The sequence below is a fragment of the Homo sapiens genome, chromosome X (assembly GCF_000001405.40).
Source record: "Homo sapiens chromosome X, GRCh38.p14 Primary Assembly".
Taxonomy (NCBI): domain Eukaryota; kingdom Metazoa; phylum Chordata; class Mammalia; order Primates; family Hominidae; genus Homo; species Homo sapiens.
This window is the reverse complement of record NC_000023.11, coordinates 133,529,119-133,548,631: the sequence shown is the minus strand read 5'-3', so window position 1 is coordinate 133,548,631 and position 19,513 is coordinate 133,529,119. Positions and strand designations below refer to the sequence as shown.

Sequence of the window (19,513 nt, the reverse complement as noted above, 5' to 3'; positions counted from 1 at the left end):
AAAGAACAAATCCAAATGGAATAACTTAGGGAGGCTATTCATCTTTCATGTATAAGGATACCTGCCTGCTGTTGATTACTGGATAGGGTGTTTTCAGGGCCTTGAGCCATTTTGACCCCTTGGCTATTGTATGAGTACCTTTCTTGGCTGTTGGGCATTGCCAGGACATTGCATGCATTTTAGTTCTCAGGTCCATTTATTTATTGATTTATTTATTTATTTTGTAAGATCCATTGTGGCTGATTAAAAATGTAAGGTTACCTGATTTGGGGTTTTCCCATCCAAGTATATCTAAAACCCTGATACACTGATGAAGCCCTGATATACTTGGGCTCCAAGGGACTGCAAGGCCACTCCCTCACTCCCATAACCCCTCACCAGCAATTGGATTTGGCTACAATAAGTGACATTTTGTGTTTTTCTTCTATGTGCTCAAAGCCCAATGATGCATACCTCTGTAGCTGCATCATGCCTGAAATGTATATTGCAAACAGAGCTCTGTGAATCTAAATGATTAAATAACTTTTGAAAATGTTATAAGGACAGAGTGTATGCTTTCATTTACTTTTTTTTTAACAGTTTCAGCGTAGCAGCCTTTGTATGAGTTACAAAAGCAAATGTAAGTTTCCTGAGAATGTATAAAAGTGTCTCTTAAAAAAATGCAGCCTCATGCCTGGGAGTGGTGGCTCACACCTGTAATCGCAGCACTTTGGGAGGCTGAGGCAAGCATATGGCTTGAGCTCAGGAGTTCAAGACCAGCCCGGACAACATGGTGAAACCATGTCTGTACTAAAAATACAAAAATTAGCCTGGTGTGGTGATGTGCATCTTAGTCCTATAGGCTGAGGAAGGAGGATGGCTTGAGCCTGGGAGACAGAGGTTGCAGTGAGCTACGATCACACCACTGCATTCCAGCCTGGGCAACAGAGCCAGACCCTGTCTCAAAATAATGATGATGATGATGATAATAATAATAATAATAATGCAGCCTCAGATTAAAATTCTTGGTGAAAATTACCCTCTTCCCCATTCCCAGTTGAAGAGCTATCTATATCTGCTATTCCAGGGTAGCACTCAAATATCCATTCATCTTCATTCTTTTGCACAACTTAACTTGACTTTCAAAGCACAGACGAGTACCATTTGGCATGGATGCTTTGGTATCAGGTATATTCACACACAGACCCCTCTACAAGGTAAGATACCAGAGTAGTGGTGCACTCCCCTTAGGAACTAGGGAGCATCCCCAGATGCTGTTATCTCTTGGTTTCTAGTGTAAGTTTTTTTTTCTTTAAATTATGGCAAAATATATAGAATGTAAACTTTGCTATTTTAACCAATTTTTATTTTTTATTGAGGTAAAATATACATATATACTTTGCTATCTTTATTAATTTTGAGTGTGCAGTTCAGTGGTAATAAATACATTTGTATTCTTTTTTTCTCCTTCATCCCTCCTGCTTCTCCCCTTCCCAGCCTCTGGTAACCACCAATCTACCTTCATGAGATCTATTTTTTAGCTCCCACATATGAGTGAGAACATGCAATTTTTGTCTTTCTGTGCCTGGCTTATTTCACTCAACATAATGGCCTCCAATTCCATCCACGTTGTTGCAAATGATAGGATCTCATTCTTTTTTATAGCTGAATAGTACTCCACTGTGTATACATACCACATTTTCTTTATCCATTCATCTATTGATGCACACTTAGGTTAATTCCAAAGCTGGGCTATTGTGAATAGTACTACAACAAACCTGGAAGTACAGATATCTCTTCGATATACTGATTCCCTTTCTTTTGAGTATATACCTAGCAGTAGGATTGCTGGATCATATGGTTGTTTTATTTTTTGTTTTTTGAGGAACCTCCAAACTGTTCTCCATAGTGGTTGTTTACATCTCTACCAACAGTGTACAAGGGTTCCCCTTTCTTCACATTTGAACCATTTTAAAGTATACAATTCAGTGGTGTTAATTTCATTTACAATGTTGTGCAACCATCACCACTATTTCCAAAATATTTCATCATCCCAAAAAGAAACTCTGTAACTTTTAAGCTGTAACTCACCCTTCCCCTACCCCCAGCCACTGGCAATCACTAATCTACTTTCTCTCTCTCTCTATTTGTTTATGCTGGACATTTCATATAAATGGAATTATATACTATATGGCATTTTGTGACTGGCTTCTTTCACTTACTATAATGGTTTTTTTTTAAGTTTTTTTTTTTTAATCTTGGCTATTCCACATCCTTCTTAATGTGTATATTAAGTTGTTCTTTAGCTAGGTAGAAGAGGTGTATACATATCATTATGGAAAATAATTCTTTTGGCTGACCTGGAATGACACAAAAGAAAGTGAGGAACATTTAAGTAATAATAACCTTAATGTCTCAGAACTTGTAAGGGCTGAAAATTGGACAAGCTGAAGAATTCCAGCATAAGTTTCTGTGTTATTCTAGAATGCAGGCTAATTTCAATATGTGTGTGGTGCAACTAAAAACTAACAGCAAGAGGAGATAAGTTAGAGAAATGACTACCTTGTGGAGAATTTAGGGCCACCAACATATTAGAAGTAGTTAAAGTCCTATCAGTGTTTGTCAACCTTTAGAAATTGACATCCCCGTTTGTTTGCTTGTTTGTTTATTTATGAGACAGAGTCTCGCTCAAGGTTCATTCATGTGGTGCCATTTATCAGTACATCATTCCTTTTTTTTTTTGGCTAATAGTCCATTGAATGGACGTACCACATTTTGTGTCTCCATTCATCTGTTGATGGACACTTAGGTTCTTTCCACCTTTCAGCTATTAGGAATACAATGCAATGAACATTGGCATACAAGTATCTGTTTGAGTATCTGGTTACAGGTTGTTTATGCATCAATGACAGCAAGAATATAGTATTTTAAAAGGCCATTTTGCTTTGGAATTCTAGAGGCACCGTCTAACAAAACTTGGTTGTACAGACTGGTGAGGTGTTGTGGCACTAACAGCACTGCCATGCACCCCAGGCACAGTCAGGGTGGCAAATGCCTCATTTCACTCACTCTCAGACTTCTCAGAGAATCCACATTAGCTCCCCCTCTCTCCTTAACTCACTAATCACTGTCTTTTTTTAACAGATGGGTCTTGCTGTGTTGCCCAGACTGGAATACAGTGGCTATTCATAGGTGTAATCATAGTGCACTACAGTCTTGAACTCCTGGCCTCCCACCTCAGCAACCCAAGTAGCTGGGACTACAGGCAGGCACCATGGCCACATCTGGTTTCTTACCCAACAATCCTACTGAAACATCTTCCAAAAATCACCCATAACCTTCTATTTAACATCTACAGTGGCTTCTTTTCAGTCTTTACTTTTCTTGACCCCTACACAACATTTGACCGTGTTAACCCACCCCTCTTTAAAGTGTTTCCCATCCCTTGTCTTCTCTAGATCAGTTATCTTGATCTTCTTCCCTGGCCCTTGCTGTACAGTGTCTCTGTCCTCAGCTCCTCTTCTTCTACTGACTGTTAGGCCCATCATTTCCCATGGGAATGAGATAACCTTTCCTGTGGGAAGTAAAGGCTCTGATGAGCTTCGATCTCTGTGGAGCTGTTAGGCAGCCTCAGGCAAGAAGGACCTGTAGACATCAGAGGAGTGGTCATGACACTGCTGGGGAAGGTGGTGAGAATGCTGGGGCTGGTGGAGGAGAGCCACCACCCACATTACCCACACATACTGTCAGTGCTTCCAGGATGGGGTTGTTCTGTTCCTGGGAATATGGTTTGACTCATGATGTGCCTAAATAACTATGGTAGGCCGGGCACAGTGGCTCACGCCTGTAATCCTAGCACTTTGGAGGCTGAGGAAGGAGGATAATTTGAGGCCAGGAGTTTAAGACCAGCCTGGGCAACAGAGCAAGACCCTGTCTCTACAAAAAATAAAAATAAAAAAATTAGCCAGACGTGGTGGCACACACCTGTGGTCCCAGCTACTTGGGAGGCTGAGGTGGCAGGATTGCTTGAGTCCAGGTATTCAAGGCTGCTGTGAGCCATGACTATGCCACTGCACTGGGAAACAGAGTGAGACCCCATCTCTATAAATAGTAAGTATGTAAGTAAGTGGTGGCCCATATGACTTTTTTATTTCTTTCTTAATGGCTACACATAATAGTGAAGCATAGCTGGTGGTTGAAAACCCCTGGAAACATTTGTGTTAGAAAAAGGAAGCAGTCTGAGCCCTAGTTAAGGACAATCACTGTGATGTTTCCCTCGTAACAAGGAAGTTGCCATAGAAAAGACTACATTAAGTCACTCATCAGGAATTTGTGAGTCAGAAGGTCCAGCGTGGTAGTTGACAAAGCCCAGGTGACCCAAGTTGCCTAACAGTGCTGGGATTGTTTTTTGTTTGTTTGTTTGTAACAGGGTCTTACTCTATCACCCAGGGTGTAGTGCAGTGGCACAATCACAGCTCACTGCAGCCTCAACCTCCTGAACTCAAGCAATCATCCCACGTCAGCCTCCCAAGTAGCTGGAACTACAAGCACACGCCACCATGCCCAGCTAACTTTTCTGTTTTTTGTAGAAACAAGGTTTCACCATGTTGCCAAGGCTGGTTTCAAACTCCTGGGCTGAAGTGACCCATCCCCCTTGGCCTACCAGAATCCTGGGATTACAAGGTGTAAGCCACCGTACCCAACCTCTAACAGTGTTTTTAAGATTTTTCTACCTAAATCCCCCCACTACGTCAGAGAAGGGTGAGTGAATCCCTACTCCTGAGGATTTGAGACATAACCTGCTAAACAGGAAATGTCTGATGACTTCAGTGAGCTTGCAACTAATACATTTCTGCTCCATCATTAGCCTTGCATATTTTAGTATAAAAAAGTGTGCTTTCCCCCAATTCCCTAGGAAGAAGCATGTGATGGCTTCATGTACCTACAACCCACTGCAGTGTAATCTGAAGATACACATACTCCAGATTGAGAAACAGAGGCCTACAATAAGAGAGGCCATGCCTCAGCTAATGGGAAAAATTCATTATATTCTTTCAACATCCTATTGTTGTAACTAAAGATGTTTGCAAGCTGGAATGAGCCATAAGAAATGAAGAGGACATCTCATTGCCCAAACCCTCTTCTAGGAGAGGCCATTGGATTATTCCCAGGTGTTACTGTCATTTAGTGGGCAAAATTAGCAATTCATTTGTTTGTCAGAAAGGCAGATTGTGGGCCAGGTGTGGTGGCTCACACCTGTAATCCACGCACTTTGGGAGGCCAAGGCGGGCAGATCGCTTGAGCTCAGGAGTTCGAGACCAGCCTGGACAGCATGGTGAAACCCTGTCTCTATGAAATATACAAAAATAATCCAGGAGTGGTGGTATGTATTTGTAATCCCAGCTACTCAGGAGGCTGAGGCACAAGAATCACTTGAACTCTGGAGGTGGAGGTTGCAGTGAGCCAAGATCACGCCACTGCACTCCAGCCTGGGTGACACGGCGAGACTGTCTAAAAAAAAAGGCAGATTGTTAAATGAGCCCATTCCCAAAAGAAGTCCCATTAGACCAGTTAAAAACCAGAGGTCTCAAGTATTTCTTGTCCTCCTCATCTGATCTATGAAGAAGAAAATCTAGACTCCCAGAGACCCAAGGGTCATTTGAAAAGTCATTTTCTTCTGCTTTAAAGTCTAGTCATTTCACATCTAAAAGTTGACAAAAGAGGAGGTATTGAGGTGGCAGGAAAGAGGGTTGTGCTGAAGGGAGAACAAGGAAACCAGGGTCTGTTTTGGATTCAAGAGCGAATGGCAGAGCCCAGTGGCTCCTGTGGGAACAGCCAGCAGAGTGAGCAGTATTGCAATGAATGTGATTTCTCCAGAGATTTCCCCCAGCTTCAGCCTCTGGGGGTTGCCAAGCAATGTCCTGAGGTTTCACGTATGCATGTCTTGGAGGCCAACTGTACACAGCAAATGCAAAACACAGAGATAGCAGTATTGCTCTGTTGCTATATTAGGGCCAGATTGAAGCCATCTGCTGATGCAAGCTTGGCAAGTAAGAAACCCCCATGCTTGGCTCAGCAGTAGCGTTTTCTCTCCTGGCATTTTGATAGCAGCACTTCTTTCAGTCTGCCCTGTGAAGTCTTCCTGTTGGTATGGGTGAAGCCCTCATAGCAATGCATCATCCTCCTTGAAGCCCACACCCTCAGAGGGTGAGCATTTGCTTCCTATTATGTGCTCAAGACTCCATTAGCTTTGTAAGGGCCCAAAGGCTTGTCTTCCTGGCTCCCAGATCCCCCTGTGCATGCCTATCCATGCCTGCTTGATGCACCCCAGGTCCAGCAACTTCTCCCCCAAAGCTCTGTGTGTACTGCCTCCAATGGAAGTTGTTATGCCAGAGTTTAAAAGCAAAACAGAAACAATCCAGCATGGATGTGTTTATAGCCAGGATCTCTCATCCAAGATTAAAAAACAGCTCAAGAAAAAAAGAGAATTCAGAATTTGGTAGCTGATGAATATCACCAGAGAAACATCCCAAGGGAAGCAACTGATTGACCTGACTTGCTTATGGAGGCCCTGTCAGGGACAGCCACCTTGGCTGCTGTAAGTGGAAGACTGATTACAGCCTGCAGCAGGCTATGTCCCTCAGTGGGCTGCAAGAGCCTTGGAATCAGAGAGAAATAAAACTAGAAGGAAACTTAGAGGTCATCCAGTTCAACACTTTGATTTACCAGATGGGGCAACTGAGGCCCAGAAAAGAAGGAAATGACTTGTCTAAGGTGAGATAATAAGTCAGTAGCTAAACTAGGCTTGGAACCCAGGGCTCCAGACTGCCAGGATGCACAGGATCACTTGAGGCCAGGAATTTAAGACCAGCCTCCTAGGGACTCTGCTAGGAGACGCTGAATAACCAAAGATGGAGGGCTCTCTATTTATTGCTTTTCTCAATACAGAAAAACTTTTCAACACACAAAAAAATGCAGACCTTAATGACTGACAATTATTTTAAAAAAGAATTATCTAGTCTACAACACAAAGGACATGAAGGCGAAATGAGAGTCAGGGGCTGAATGTGTAATTAGTACAGATGTTGAGTCTACCCTTTGGGCATAGTTAAACTGATTACAAATAGAAACAGATTTTTGGATTTAGCATGAAAATCTCCTTGCTGGCCCAAAAGGTTCTCACTGATGATCAAGATAGAAACAATTTATGTGCATTTTATAATATGTACCTAATACAGCAAAAATACATTCTGGAAAATCACTGATAAACATAAAGATATGAATGATTGAAAAGAGAATGGTTTGTGGTGATTCTCATAATACATCTGGTTTGTAGCAAACTGAGAAGTTTCTGGTTTGATGTAGATTTAGCCACTTTGTAGGGTTTTTTTTTTGTTTTTGTTTTTTTAACTTTGCTACTGGCTGATTCCCCAGATACTATTCCCACAGGCTTCTTGTTTATTTCAACACAAGATGTCTGACAAGTCTCTCCCTCTTAGAGCTGTCTTCCACAGTGTTAACAATCATCTTTCTAAAAAACACAAATCAGATTGTGTTGTTTGTTTACTTCAAAACCTTCAGTGGCTCCCTGTTGCTCACAGAATAGTTTTACTTTCCTAATCCACCATGATTTGGCTCTTACTTGTCCCTCCGCCTTACCTTTCATCTCCCACCACCTCTTCCCCCACAGTGCGCGCACACACACACACACACACACACACACACACACACACACACCACAACAATGTCCATTCTGTGGCTCCTCCTACCATGGAGGCTACTTGCTGCTTCTGAATATGCCTCATAGACATTCTCTGAGCTTGGTGATTTTGGTCAGGCTGTACCCTCTGCCTGGAATAACCATTCATTCAGCCCCTGCCATAATTCTGTCCATCCTTCATGGTGTAGATTATGTCCCAATTATTCTTAATTTTATTATTTTTTATTTTTATTTCAATAGTTTTTGGGTACAGATGTTATTTAGTTACATGGATGAGTTCTTTAGTGGTGAATTTTCAGATTTTAGTGCACCTATCGTCCAAGCAGTATACACTGTACCCAATATGTAGTCTTTTATCCCTCACCTCACTCCCACTCTGTCCCCTGAGTCCCCAGTGTCTATTATGTCATTCTTATGCCTTTGTGTCCTCATAGCTTAGTTCCCACTTATAAGTGAAAACATACGATATTTGGTTTTCCATTCCTGAGTTACTTCCCTTAGAATAATGGCCTCCGGCTCCATCCAAGTTGCTGCAAAAGACATTATTTCATTCATTTTTATGGCTGAGTAGTGTTACATGGTGTATGTATACCACATTTTCTTTATCCACTTGTTGGTTGATGGGCACTTAGGCTGGATCCATATTTTTGCAATTGCAAATTGAGCTGCTATAACCATGCGTGTTCATGTGTCTTTTTCATAGAATGACTTCTTTTCCTTTGGGTAGATACCCAGTAGTGGGATATCCCAATTGTTTTAAGAAGTCTTCCCAGATCTTTCTATTTGGAATTTTTATCTCTTTCTCTTCTATCCCCGAGGTGTTTTGCTTGTGCCTTTAACTGAGCCCTTTCTACTTTCTGCCACGTAGCTAGTTGAATTGTCTCTTGATCAATTTCCCTTGCCAGTGAGGGGGCTCATGAAGGCAGACAGTAAGTCTTTCTCTAACCCTCAACTGTGATGCTTGAGACATCATAGGCTAGTTTTGTTTGTTGAATTAAATTGGATTACATTTCCCCTGTCCAGAAATGTCTGTATTTATCTTTCACCAAAAATCCTATTTCCTCTGTCTCCATAATGCTTCATTATTGTGCTAAGCTATTCCCTTTATCTCTAATCTTCATGATGGTGGCCCAAGCGTACAGTGGCTTTGCTGGGATTCCCACCAATTATAAGCCACAGGTGCCTGGCTATGGAATTGGTTGATAAACTTTTGCTACTGCTGAATGAAGAGCCTCAGGAAACCTGCAGCCATAGCTTATGGAACACAGGGAGATAGCGTTCTGAATATTCCTGGGGGCCTTTTGGAGGTAGAAGACTTGGCCACCTTTGTGGTTGGGGTATCTAATGGCTTTGGCCATCATTGTTGATTTCTTCAGGGAAATAGAACTGATATGATAATTCCCATTTCCAACCCAGAGCTCTTTTCAGGATTTCAAAAAGTTTAACAAGGCTACTTAATCAAGTATGTGGTCAATTTTATGTGCAAACAGTGACTTTGCTCTCATGCTGTTTGGAAGTTCTCTTTGGCACTGTGTATTTCACTAATGGAGTTTGTTTTCAAGAAGAATCCATTACTACTTAATTACTGTAGTTTATTTGGTATATAGAATTTTTCAAGAGGCAGTGTAGCTTCATTTGAGGTTTAGAGTCAGACCTGGACTCAAATAGCTCTTCTACCCCATACCAGCTGTGTAAATATGGGCAAAATAATTAACCTGAGCTTGAGCTTCCTCTCCAGTAAAATGGGAATTATAATACCTACCTTATAACATCGTGGAGATGGTTAAATTCAATGAAATAATGTACGGAAATAGTTTAACACAGTGCCTGGCCTACAGTGAGGACTCAGTAGTTGGGGGTCATTACTATAATTAAAAAATACAGGGCCCAAGAGATAGAAATAGCAAAAGAGGGCCAGGCACAGTGGCTCACACTTGTAATTCCAGAATTTTGGGAGGCCGAGGTGGTCAGATCGCTTGAGCTCAGGAGTTTGAGACCAGCCTGGGCAACATGGCAAAACCCCGTCTCTAGAAAAAAAAAAAAAAATACAAATAATAGCCAGGCAGGGTGGCACATGCCTGACTATTATTTGTATTTTTTTTTTCTGGAGACGGGGTTTTGCCATGGCCCCAGCTACTTGGGAGGCCAATGTGGGAGGATTGCTTGAGCCCTGGAAATCGAGGCTGCATTGAGCCATGATCGCACCACTATACTGCAGCCTGGGCGACACAGAAAGACCCTGTCTCAAAAAAACAAAACAAAACAAAAAACAAACAAAATCAGAAGAGGTCTTTACTGGCAAAAAAAAAAAAAAATTAGACACAACTGGATTTAACAAAACTTCTGGGTTTGCCGTAACTACTACAGTAAACAAAACTGTTGAAAGTTAGCAGATGATTTGAAGAAAGAAACAGTGTAGGAGCTGAGTAGTGACATTAATAGATATTGTTTCATCTTGATGTTGGGCAAGGGGCACTATCCAGAAAAGGAATCTGAAAGCAATGCTGAGAGTGCTCGCATTCAGGTCAACCCTAAAAATACTCCTCTTTATTTAAGTTGAGAAGTTGCTGTGAGAACCAAGGCTGGGCTTTCAACAGATCTAGCCATATGTGCTCTCCACTTTGGTGAAACCCGATCATGACCTAAGCCTGTGCTATCCTTGCCGACTGACAGCTGACCTCGGCCTTCTCTGTGCACCCTGCATAGTTCACCTTTCAAAGAAAGAGGTCTAATTTCCAAGTAGAGCATTGCTCTTTGTTCTTTTTCTCTTTTTATTTTGTTTGTAGGTATTTATTTTGGAAGGCAGGGAATCTAGATTGTAGTCTGCTCAATTGCTTCTCCCTGGGTAAGAGAGTTTCCTGGAAAATTTGATTTGAATTATTACGAGTACTCAGGAAGAAAAACTCTCTGCTTTTAAATGAGTAAAATGTAACCAGATTCATATATCTTAAACCTTAGGACATTATTTCTTTCTACAGCCATGAAAATAGTTATAGTTAATAACAAAATGGAGAAAATATTTGTATAAAATATAGGCAAAAGTTCAACAAAATATATATTATTAAAATGAATAGGAAAAATATCAATACCCACTAGATAAAAAGGCAAAAGGTATAAACTACTACACATTGAGAAATATAATTAGTAAACTAAAACATAGGAAAAGTTTGTCTGCACTAGTAATCAAATCCCTGCAAATTAAAGAAACGTTGAGATGTCGCCTTATATTAGCAAAAAATATCTTTTTTCAATGGAGGTGCCGTAAAATTGTTTCTCTCATCATTGCTGGTGGCAATATAGATTGCAATAGACCTTTTGGAAATTGGTATCTTAGTCTGTGAAATTAGACTCCCTGGCTTTGATCACTTTGACCTTGCTGCCTGCCCTAACCAGTGCTAGCCTTAGCAGAGCCTTGGTCCTGGGCCCTGCTCTGTACTGGACCAGCTGAGTCCCCACGCTTTCTTCCTGTGACTTATTGAGTGTTTCATCCCCTGTAAGAGAAGCTCTTCCTTCCTCTTCCTTCCTTCCCTCTGTAGAATCCCAGTCATTTCCTCTGTGCCTGTTGCCGGGCATCTCAGTGTCCCAAAGGATCTTTCTAGCTCCCTTGGCTACCAGACAGTTGGCTGGTGAAGTTGCTCACATCATATCACCTTCACAAGATATTGAAATAGCAACATTGGCAACGGAGTCTAGAAGAGCCAAGAGAGTAGATTTGATCTCTAAATCTGGAAAAGCAAATCTGAAAGATAATGAGCCCTTGGCCAGGGTCAGCCATCTTGAATTTCCTGATAAACCACTGTCTTCCTTAGATTTGCCTTCTGGGGCCACCTTTGCTTTAGGACAAGCTAAATAACACCCTGATTTCTTTTCAGAATCATGAACATATATCATAAATGCTAGGCAGTCAAAGAATGAAAGGCTCTTGCCCATTAGCCTCTCCTTACACCCATTCACTTGGTATCAGTTTAAATCTATGCTTTGATCAATTTTGCTTTTTTGCGAGGATTCTTTTTAGGGGGAAATGAAAAGACCTTATAGATAAAAGGAGAATTATTTGGGAAAATAAAACAACTTTCAACAGCAAACTACCTATCCTCAACCCTAATTAAGGAAAAGCTCCCAGGACAAGGAAATGTATATAAGGTGCAGGGCCTAAGAAACGTACACTGGGAACCCACAGCACCCCCTCCCCACCAGCACACATACACACAAGAACACAACCACATGGTATAGTCACCTATATGGCATCTTACGTTTTGATACCCATAAGATCTGGTGAAAATGCCCTTCAAGCAAAACCTTGCCTGGGAGGAGATGTTGCAAAGGGCTAGCATGCACCCTACAATGTGGATGCAGCCAAAGGGGAGTGGGGTGCAGCCTGTTCGCTCCCCACTCCTGCTTGCTGTGATCTCTGGAAGGAGCACTTCTGGCTGGCTCCTTCCACTGCCTCCCCTCTCCCCACCCCCACCCCCACATATCCTTCTTTTTCCCATCTCACAGTGGCCTTTTTCTCCCCCATAAAAAAGGGAATCAAAGCTGAGGCTTTCCAGTGGTCCAGACACATGCTCGAGCTGTGCATAGTGTTATACTGAGGCTATGGGTAGACTTGCATTTCAAATCCTTCTCTTTTGATTGACAGAACTGGCCTATGATCTGGATGTGGATGATGCGCCTGGAAACAGTCAGCAGGCAACTCCGAAGGACAACGAGATAAGCACCTTTCACAACCTCGGGAACGTTCATTCCCCGCTGAAGCTTCTCACCAGCATGGCCATCTCGGTGGTGTGCTTCTTCTTCCTGGTGCACTGACTGCCTGGTGCCCAGCACATGTGCTGCCCTACAGCACCCTGTGGTCTTCCTCGATAAAGGGAACCACTTTCTTATTTTTTTCTATTTTTTTTTTTTTGTTATCCTGTATACCTCCTCCAGCCATGAAGTAGAGGACTAACCATGTGTTATGTTTTCGAAAATCAAATGGTATCTTTTGGAGGAAGATACATTTTAGTGGTAGCATATAGATTGTCCTTTTGCAAAGAAAGAAAAAAAACCATCAAGTTGTGCCAAATTATTCTCCTATGTTTGGCTGCTAGAACATGGTTACCATGTCTTTCTCTCTCACTCCCTCCCTTTCTATCGTTCTCTCTTTGCATGGATTTCTTTGAAAAAAAATAAATTGCTCAAATAAAAATGTATTGGCCCTTTTTTTGCAAACCGTCGTCTATGGTGACTGCGCAATGCTTTTTTTTTCCTTCTCACTAAACTTTCTATCCAACATATTCTTATCAGGCCCCAACAGGTTCCTTGAAACCCACCTCCCTGCCTTCCTTCTGGGTGGAAATCAATCCTGACTCCAAGAACCAATAAGAAAGAGCCACTCCCTCGCAATCCACAATCTTCATTTCGAAACCTTGGGTTGGAGTATCTTGTCTATGAAACCGAAGTATCTCAAAAGAGTTACCTGGTCTGGTCTCTCTTTACAACTTTTACTTTGCCAAAAATGCTTTGCCCAAATAGGAATCCTCTATGTAAATCAGGTACAGTTACACCATTCATCTTCTCCCTTCTCCCAAATCAAGACAGGTGAGCCCAAACAGTGCAAAGAAATCACTCCCCAGCTTCTTTGCTGCTGTCTCAGGCTTGCTGTTGCCTCTCTCCACAGGGGCTGCCACATGGCATGGGCAGCCGTTGCTTTGGGTCAGGTTGCAGAAGGTGTCATCAGCAAACCCATGATTTATAGGGAGCAACTCTCACTCTTGGCCTCAGGTGAGCTTCTTCAACATTCATTTATTCAACGAGTAGATTTTGCATACCTGTTGGGTTTCAGGTACTGTACCAGATGCTGGAGACAGTGGAAAACAAAACAGAACTGAGCCCTGCTCTCATGGAACTGAAGGTCTGACACCAGTAGTAATTACAACACTGGCTTTTCATCATCAACCATAGGCCCAGTATTATTACTCAAAATCTGTTTTTTGCAGGGTGTGGTGGCTCACACCTGTAAGCCCAACACTTTGGGAGGCTGAGGCGGGTGGATCATTTGAGGTCAGGAGTTTGAGACCAGCCTGGCCAACATGGCAAAACCCCGTCTGTACTAAAAATACAAAAAATTTAGCCAGGTGTGGTGGCGGGTGCCTGTAATCCCAGCTACTCAGGAGGCTGAAGCAGGAGAATCGCTTGAACCTGGGAGGCAGAGGTTGCAGTGAGCTGAGATCATGCCATTGCACTCCAGCCTGGATGACAGAGTGAGACGCTGTCTCAAAAAAAAAAAAAATCTGTTTTTACACATACGACATTGCAATAATAATGGCACTTATGTTAGGTGATACTCAGACATTCTGCTGCCGAGGGATCCCAGGAATAACCACCCTGCCATTTTTGTAATGTGTATAATGCTTAGCACATTGCCCTGTTGCCAGGTCAGGTCAATAGAGACATTGATTCTTTCTAAAGGGGGAGGACTCAACTTCCACCTGATAAATATAAGAAAGAGAGGGTGAGATGCACTGAAGGGGTGTGAGCAAAGGTCAAGGAATGGACGGGGAAGTCCCCTTTGATTCTACGAGGTGGTCCTAGTCAGGATCTCCGATTTCGGTCCCATGGCAGGGGGTCACCATGTGGGAAGCAGAATGTGTAATTTCTCACAAGTTATTGCACTCCTTCTCCTGCTGTCACCAACATACTTCTGTCCCCTGCAGAGCACAATTTTCCAATATCCATCTTCATCCTTTGCAGAAATGCTCACAAACACAAATTGGAAATATTTGGTTTAGCGTTTCCTTTGGTTAGTTTTATCGAAGTTAAGACTACAATCAATCAGTTGTATGTGTTAATGTGATCTCAATGATTTGTAATGGTGGGTAAGACCTGAAAGAGAAAGAAGCCAGTTGTCTTTGTTTTTAAACCATCATTCTTTGTGCATTTGAATGGGGTTTGTAAGAAACTTTGGGCTTTGGTTTATGAAACCTACACATTGCAAAGATTTGCTGCTTGGACTCAGAGTCTAATATAGTAACACCAACCCAGAAGAAGGATTTAAAGCCCAGTTATCATCTAATAACTGTCTCTGACATTCCATGGAAATGTTATTTGATGTGGCAAAAAATAATTTGTGGCTCAGAGACCAAGCTTTGCTCCTGCAAGCAGGAGAGGACTGTCTTAAAGTCCATTTCTCCTCTCTGGGAGGCAAAAGAGATTGTCAGTTTTCGCACACCCTTCTCATCCACTTCCTCTCTCTAGACCTCAGTTTCCCTATTGTCAAATGGAGAATGAGGACAAGGTTTCTAACCTCTTTGTTACTCAGATTTTGTGGCACCATTCAACCCAAAAGGCAGTAAATGCCGGTCCCTCTGCCCAGCTGGTGGCATGAATGTGCTGTCCCTCCAATGCCTCTCAGAACTTTTCCAGCCTAAGGTCATATTTGACTTGCTTCAGTTTCCAGAACATGACCCCAGGCACCCTGTGTTTCTGCTGTCCTGGTACTCTGTCTGCAGCTATGGGCCATCCAGCCTGAGCGAGGAGGACCAGAAGATAACTCCCCTGTCACGTCCAAGACCTGCTGGCTTCAGCTATGTAGATGGGATTAAACAACTGGGTAACCATACACATGTTTAAAACATGGAAAATCCACCATATCCTACTGGCATCAACTATGTATCATCAATGGCCTCTTTTAGCTTTTTGCCTCTGTCTTTTCCTATCTCTCTATGTATTTTTTTATTATTGCTCTAGTTCAGAATCAAGTTTCATGGCTAGTTAGTGGCTTTTCATCTTTGACGTGTTGATTCTACCATTTTATTTTTTTTTTTAAACAGAGTCTCCGTCACCCAGGCTGGAGTATGATGGCACAATCTCAGCTCACTGCAGCCTCCACCTCCTTGGTTCCAGCAATTCTCCTGCCTCAGACTCCCGAGTAGCTGGGACTATAGGCACACATCACTAGGCTTGGCTGATTTTTCTATCTTTTTGTAAAGATGGGATTTCACCATGTTACCCAGGCTGGTCTCAAACTCCTGACCTCAAGTGATCCACCTGCCTTGGCTTCCCAAGGTGCTGGGATAATCATACACATGTATAAAACATGGAAACTCCACCATATCCTATTGGATTTAAGCTGGGATTACAGGTGTGAGCCACCGCACCTGGCCTGATTCTACCCTTTGATTTAAACTTCCTACACTTGAATTATGTTGACTATTTTTTCTTAGAAGAGACCTGGGAGCTGGGAAGTTGCCCCATTGTGTTGGAAGGCCTCTTCCTCATTGGATGCATGAGTGAACTTCCACCAACTCAACTCTGGTACTTGAGTAAGGTTAATTCCTAAAATAACAGATACTGAGTCCCTAGACTGGAAGGGACCTGATAGTTCATCCCACAATGTTTGTTTGATTACCTCCTAAGGCAGGGCTCTCACTAGGTCACAAAGTAGCCTGTTTGGTTGTTGGATACCTCGAATTTTTAGCAAATCCATTTCTTAAAGGAAAAGAGTTATTACAAATGAAATACAGGTAATAAAAAATCTAACAACACATAATTATGTAAAGTTTAGAAAATGATGTTTGCCCCATAATTCCATACCACATAGAAATCCACTATTAAATATTTATATTTTTCCATACAAAAAAAATTAGCCGGGTGTGGTGGCGGGCACCTGTAGTCCAAGCTACTCGGGAGGCTGAGGCAGGAGAATAGTGTGAACCTGGGAGGCGGAGCTTGCAGTGAGCCAAGATTGTGCCACTGCACTCCAGCCTGGGCGACAGAGCGAGACTCTGTCTCAAAAAAAAAAAAATTTATATTTTTCCAGTCTTTCACCCCCTCTCTGTATATGTATATTCGCACACATGAGATTGTATTGAACATACAATTCTTTTTTTTTGCAGTTGCATACTGTTGCAGTATTTACAACCAATGCTTTATTGAGAAATATATATATTTTTAATTTATTTTTTATTATACTTTAAGTCCTGGGATACATGTGCAGAATGTGCATGAGCATACAATTCTATAATATGAATCAGTCTTTATTAGGGTGAGCCTAAATCTGCCTTCCTATTATTTCCTCCTATGGTTCTGGCTCTGCCATAAAGAGCATCCTGAGATTCAGATAGCCGTGCTCACTTGGGCAGCACACATACTAAAATCGGAATGATACAGAGATTAGCATGGGCCCTGTGCATGAATGACATGCAAATTTGTGAAGCATTCCATATTTTTAGCAACATTGATGGAACTAGAGGCTATTCTCTTAAGTAAAACAACTCAGAGATAGAAAGTTAAATACTGCATGTCCTCACTTATAAGTGGGAGCTAAATAACGTGTACACATGAACATTGAGAGTGGAATAATAAACACTGGAGACTGGGAAAGGTGAGAGGATGGGAGGGAGTAAGGGGTAAGAAATTACTTAATGGGTACAATGTACACTATTTGGGTGATGGTTACACTGAAAGCCCAGACTTCACCACTATGCAATACATCCATGAATCAAAACTGCACTTGTGTCCCTTAAATTTATACAAACAAAAAAAAAGAGACTAAGATGGCACTAGTTTTCACATAGCTCCCTTTTCGCAATAATTTTCAGTCACTGACACTTGCCTCCTCTGGGTTGTCTGCTTTTCCAAACACATTGGACAGCGCTGACAAGCTCCTTCGTGAGCCGGGCTCCAGTGGGCCAGTGGTCCTCTTGTCCTGTCAGGCCCATAGCTGAGCCCATGGCAGGGAGAGCCTGAACAACAGTGTGGCCGATGGGTGTCTCTGTTCCCGCAGAAGTCCAGGACCTCTGCCAGAGCAGTCCTAGGATTCAGACACTTGCTGAGCAGCCACATCACACTCTTTAGTGCATGATAATTCCATGTTCTGGCTAACTGCAACTGTGATAGGTTTTTTCAAGAATGGCTGCCCAGCCAGGTGTCTTCCATCCCATACTTGCACAATTGGTTTTCTAAATACGTTCCAAAGGCTTTTGGTTTCCCTTGTCTATGGATTGAGCCAGATGCCATACACTGTGTGTGTGTGTGTGTGTGTGTGTGTGTGTGTGTGTGTGTGTGTGTGTATACTGGGGTGGAGAAATATTTTTTCTTGCCAAGGCCACAGCATTTTTGGAAGTCCTCTTTTGGAATTGCTGTTGAGCTAGTTTATGTGCCATACAAGAAAATCAGCCTCATTTCTTTATAGTCACACCTTGTTTGGAAGCAAAAAGAATATTTTTCAGTTTGATCACCCACCTCATTCACTACACTTGCTGCCAAGTAGCTTTTAGCTGTTTCCAAAAATCAAATCTGCCTTCAAGAAACAAAGCCCCTTCCCTCCCTCACCCCAAGAAGATTCCAAAAAATGTGCTATGGACTATGGAAGTTTCTCTTTTTTTCCAAAGAAAAGTTCCAGAAAATTTGAGGACACTGTCCCTGGTGCAATGATTCCCTTCTAAGGGGGCCTCTTGGAAAGTCACAGTACTAGTTTGGATGTAGAAGGTCTTCTAGGTTTGCCAAGGAAACAACCAAATAAGGTCATAGCTTTTTATTCACTTTTATATATTTAGAAATTAATGTATTGAGTTTGAAAGATTCACATTAAAAACATAGAAAAATAAAGCATAGGGCTGGGCATGGTGGCTCATGCCTGTAATCCCAGCACTTTGGGAAGACAAGGCAAGCAGATCACTTGAGGTCAGGAGTTTGAGACCAGCCTGGCCAACATGGCAAAACCCGTCTCTACTAAAAATACAAACATTAGCCGGGCGTAGTAGCACGCGACTGTAATTCCAGCATTTTGGGAGGCTGAGGCAGGAAGATCACTTGAGGCCAGGAGTTCTAGACCAGCCTGGGAAACATGGTGAAAACCCCATCTCTACTAAAACTACAAAAATTAGCTGGGCATGGAGGTGCACACCTGTAATCCCAGCTACTCAGGAGGCTGAGGCAGGAGAATCGCTTGAACCCAGAAAGTGGAGGTTGCAGTGAGCCAAGATCACGCCACTGGACTCCAGCCTGGGCAACAGAGCGAGACTCCATCTCAAAAATACAAACAAATAACAAACAAAGACTAAGGGAGAAGAGTGCTTTAGGCAGAACAATATGACACAGGTCCATAGTGGGCCATGCACAAGGCAGGTTACTGTTGGAATACTTGCCATGGTGAAGCACTGCAGGATACCAGGTACCTCCCTGGGAGAGAGGAGAGGTACAACGTGAGGATGCACACCATGGAGTATCATGCAGCAGTGAAAAGCAACAGACCATATGTACCCCCAGCAGCATGGATGGATCTTAAAACCCTAGTATGGGTAAAAAAGAAAAAAGGCAAGAAACTCCATGGGCTATATAGCATCTCACCATTTGAATTAATTAAAATATATGCACAGGCTGGGCACTGCGGCTCACACCTGTAATCCCAGCACTTTGGGAGGCTGAAGCAGGTAGATCACCTGAGGTCAGGAATTCGAGACCAGCCTGGCCAACATAGTGAAACCCTGTCTCTACTAAAACTACAAAAATTAGCCAGGCATGGTGTAGTCCCAGCTACTTGGAGTCCCAGCTACTTGGGAAGCTGAGGCAGGAGAGTCACTTGAACCCAGAAGGGGGAGGTTGTAGTGAGCTGGGATCATACCACTGCACTCCAGCCTAGGCAACAGATTGAGACTGTCTCAAAAAAAAAACAAGTATATATATATATACATATAAGTATATGTATATATATATACACATGTATATATGTATACGTGTATATATACACGTATATACGTATATATATACACGTATATACGTGTATATATGTATATATGTATATATATACACGTATATACGTGTATATATGTA

General features: G+C 42.3%; 1 protein-coding gene and 1 pseudogene across 4 annotated transcripts in view; both read left to right on the top strand.

Annotated features, from left to right (window-relative positions):
- Window positions 1-12,887, top strand: part of GPC3 (glypican 3) — a 449,850-nt gene extending 436,963 nt beyond the window's left edge. For all 4 annotated transcript variants that reach the window (NM_001164619.2, NM_001164618.2, NM_004484.4 and 1 more), the window contains one exon: window positions 12,339-12,887. In NM_001164619.2, coding sequence (NP_001158091.1) covers window positions 12,339-12,508 — 170 coding nt within the window. In that variant the 3' untranslated portion in view covers window positions 12,509-12,887. The remainder of the gene's footprint in view (window positions 1-12,338) is intronic.
- Window positions 16,806-16,909, top strand: RNU6-203P (RNA, U6 small nuclear 203, pseudogene; annotated as a pseudogene).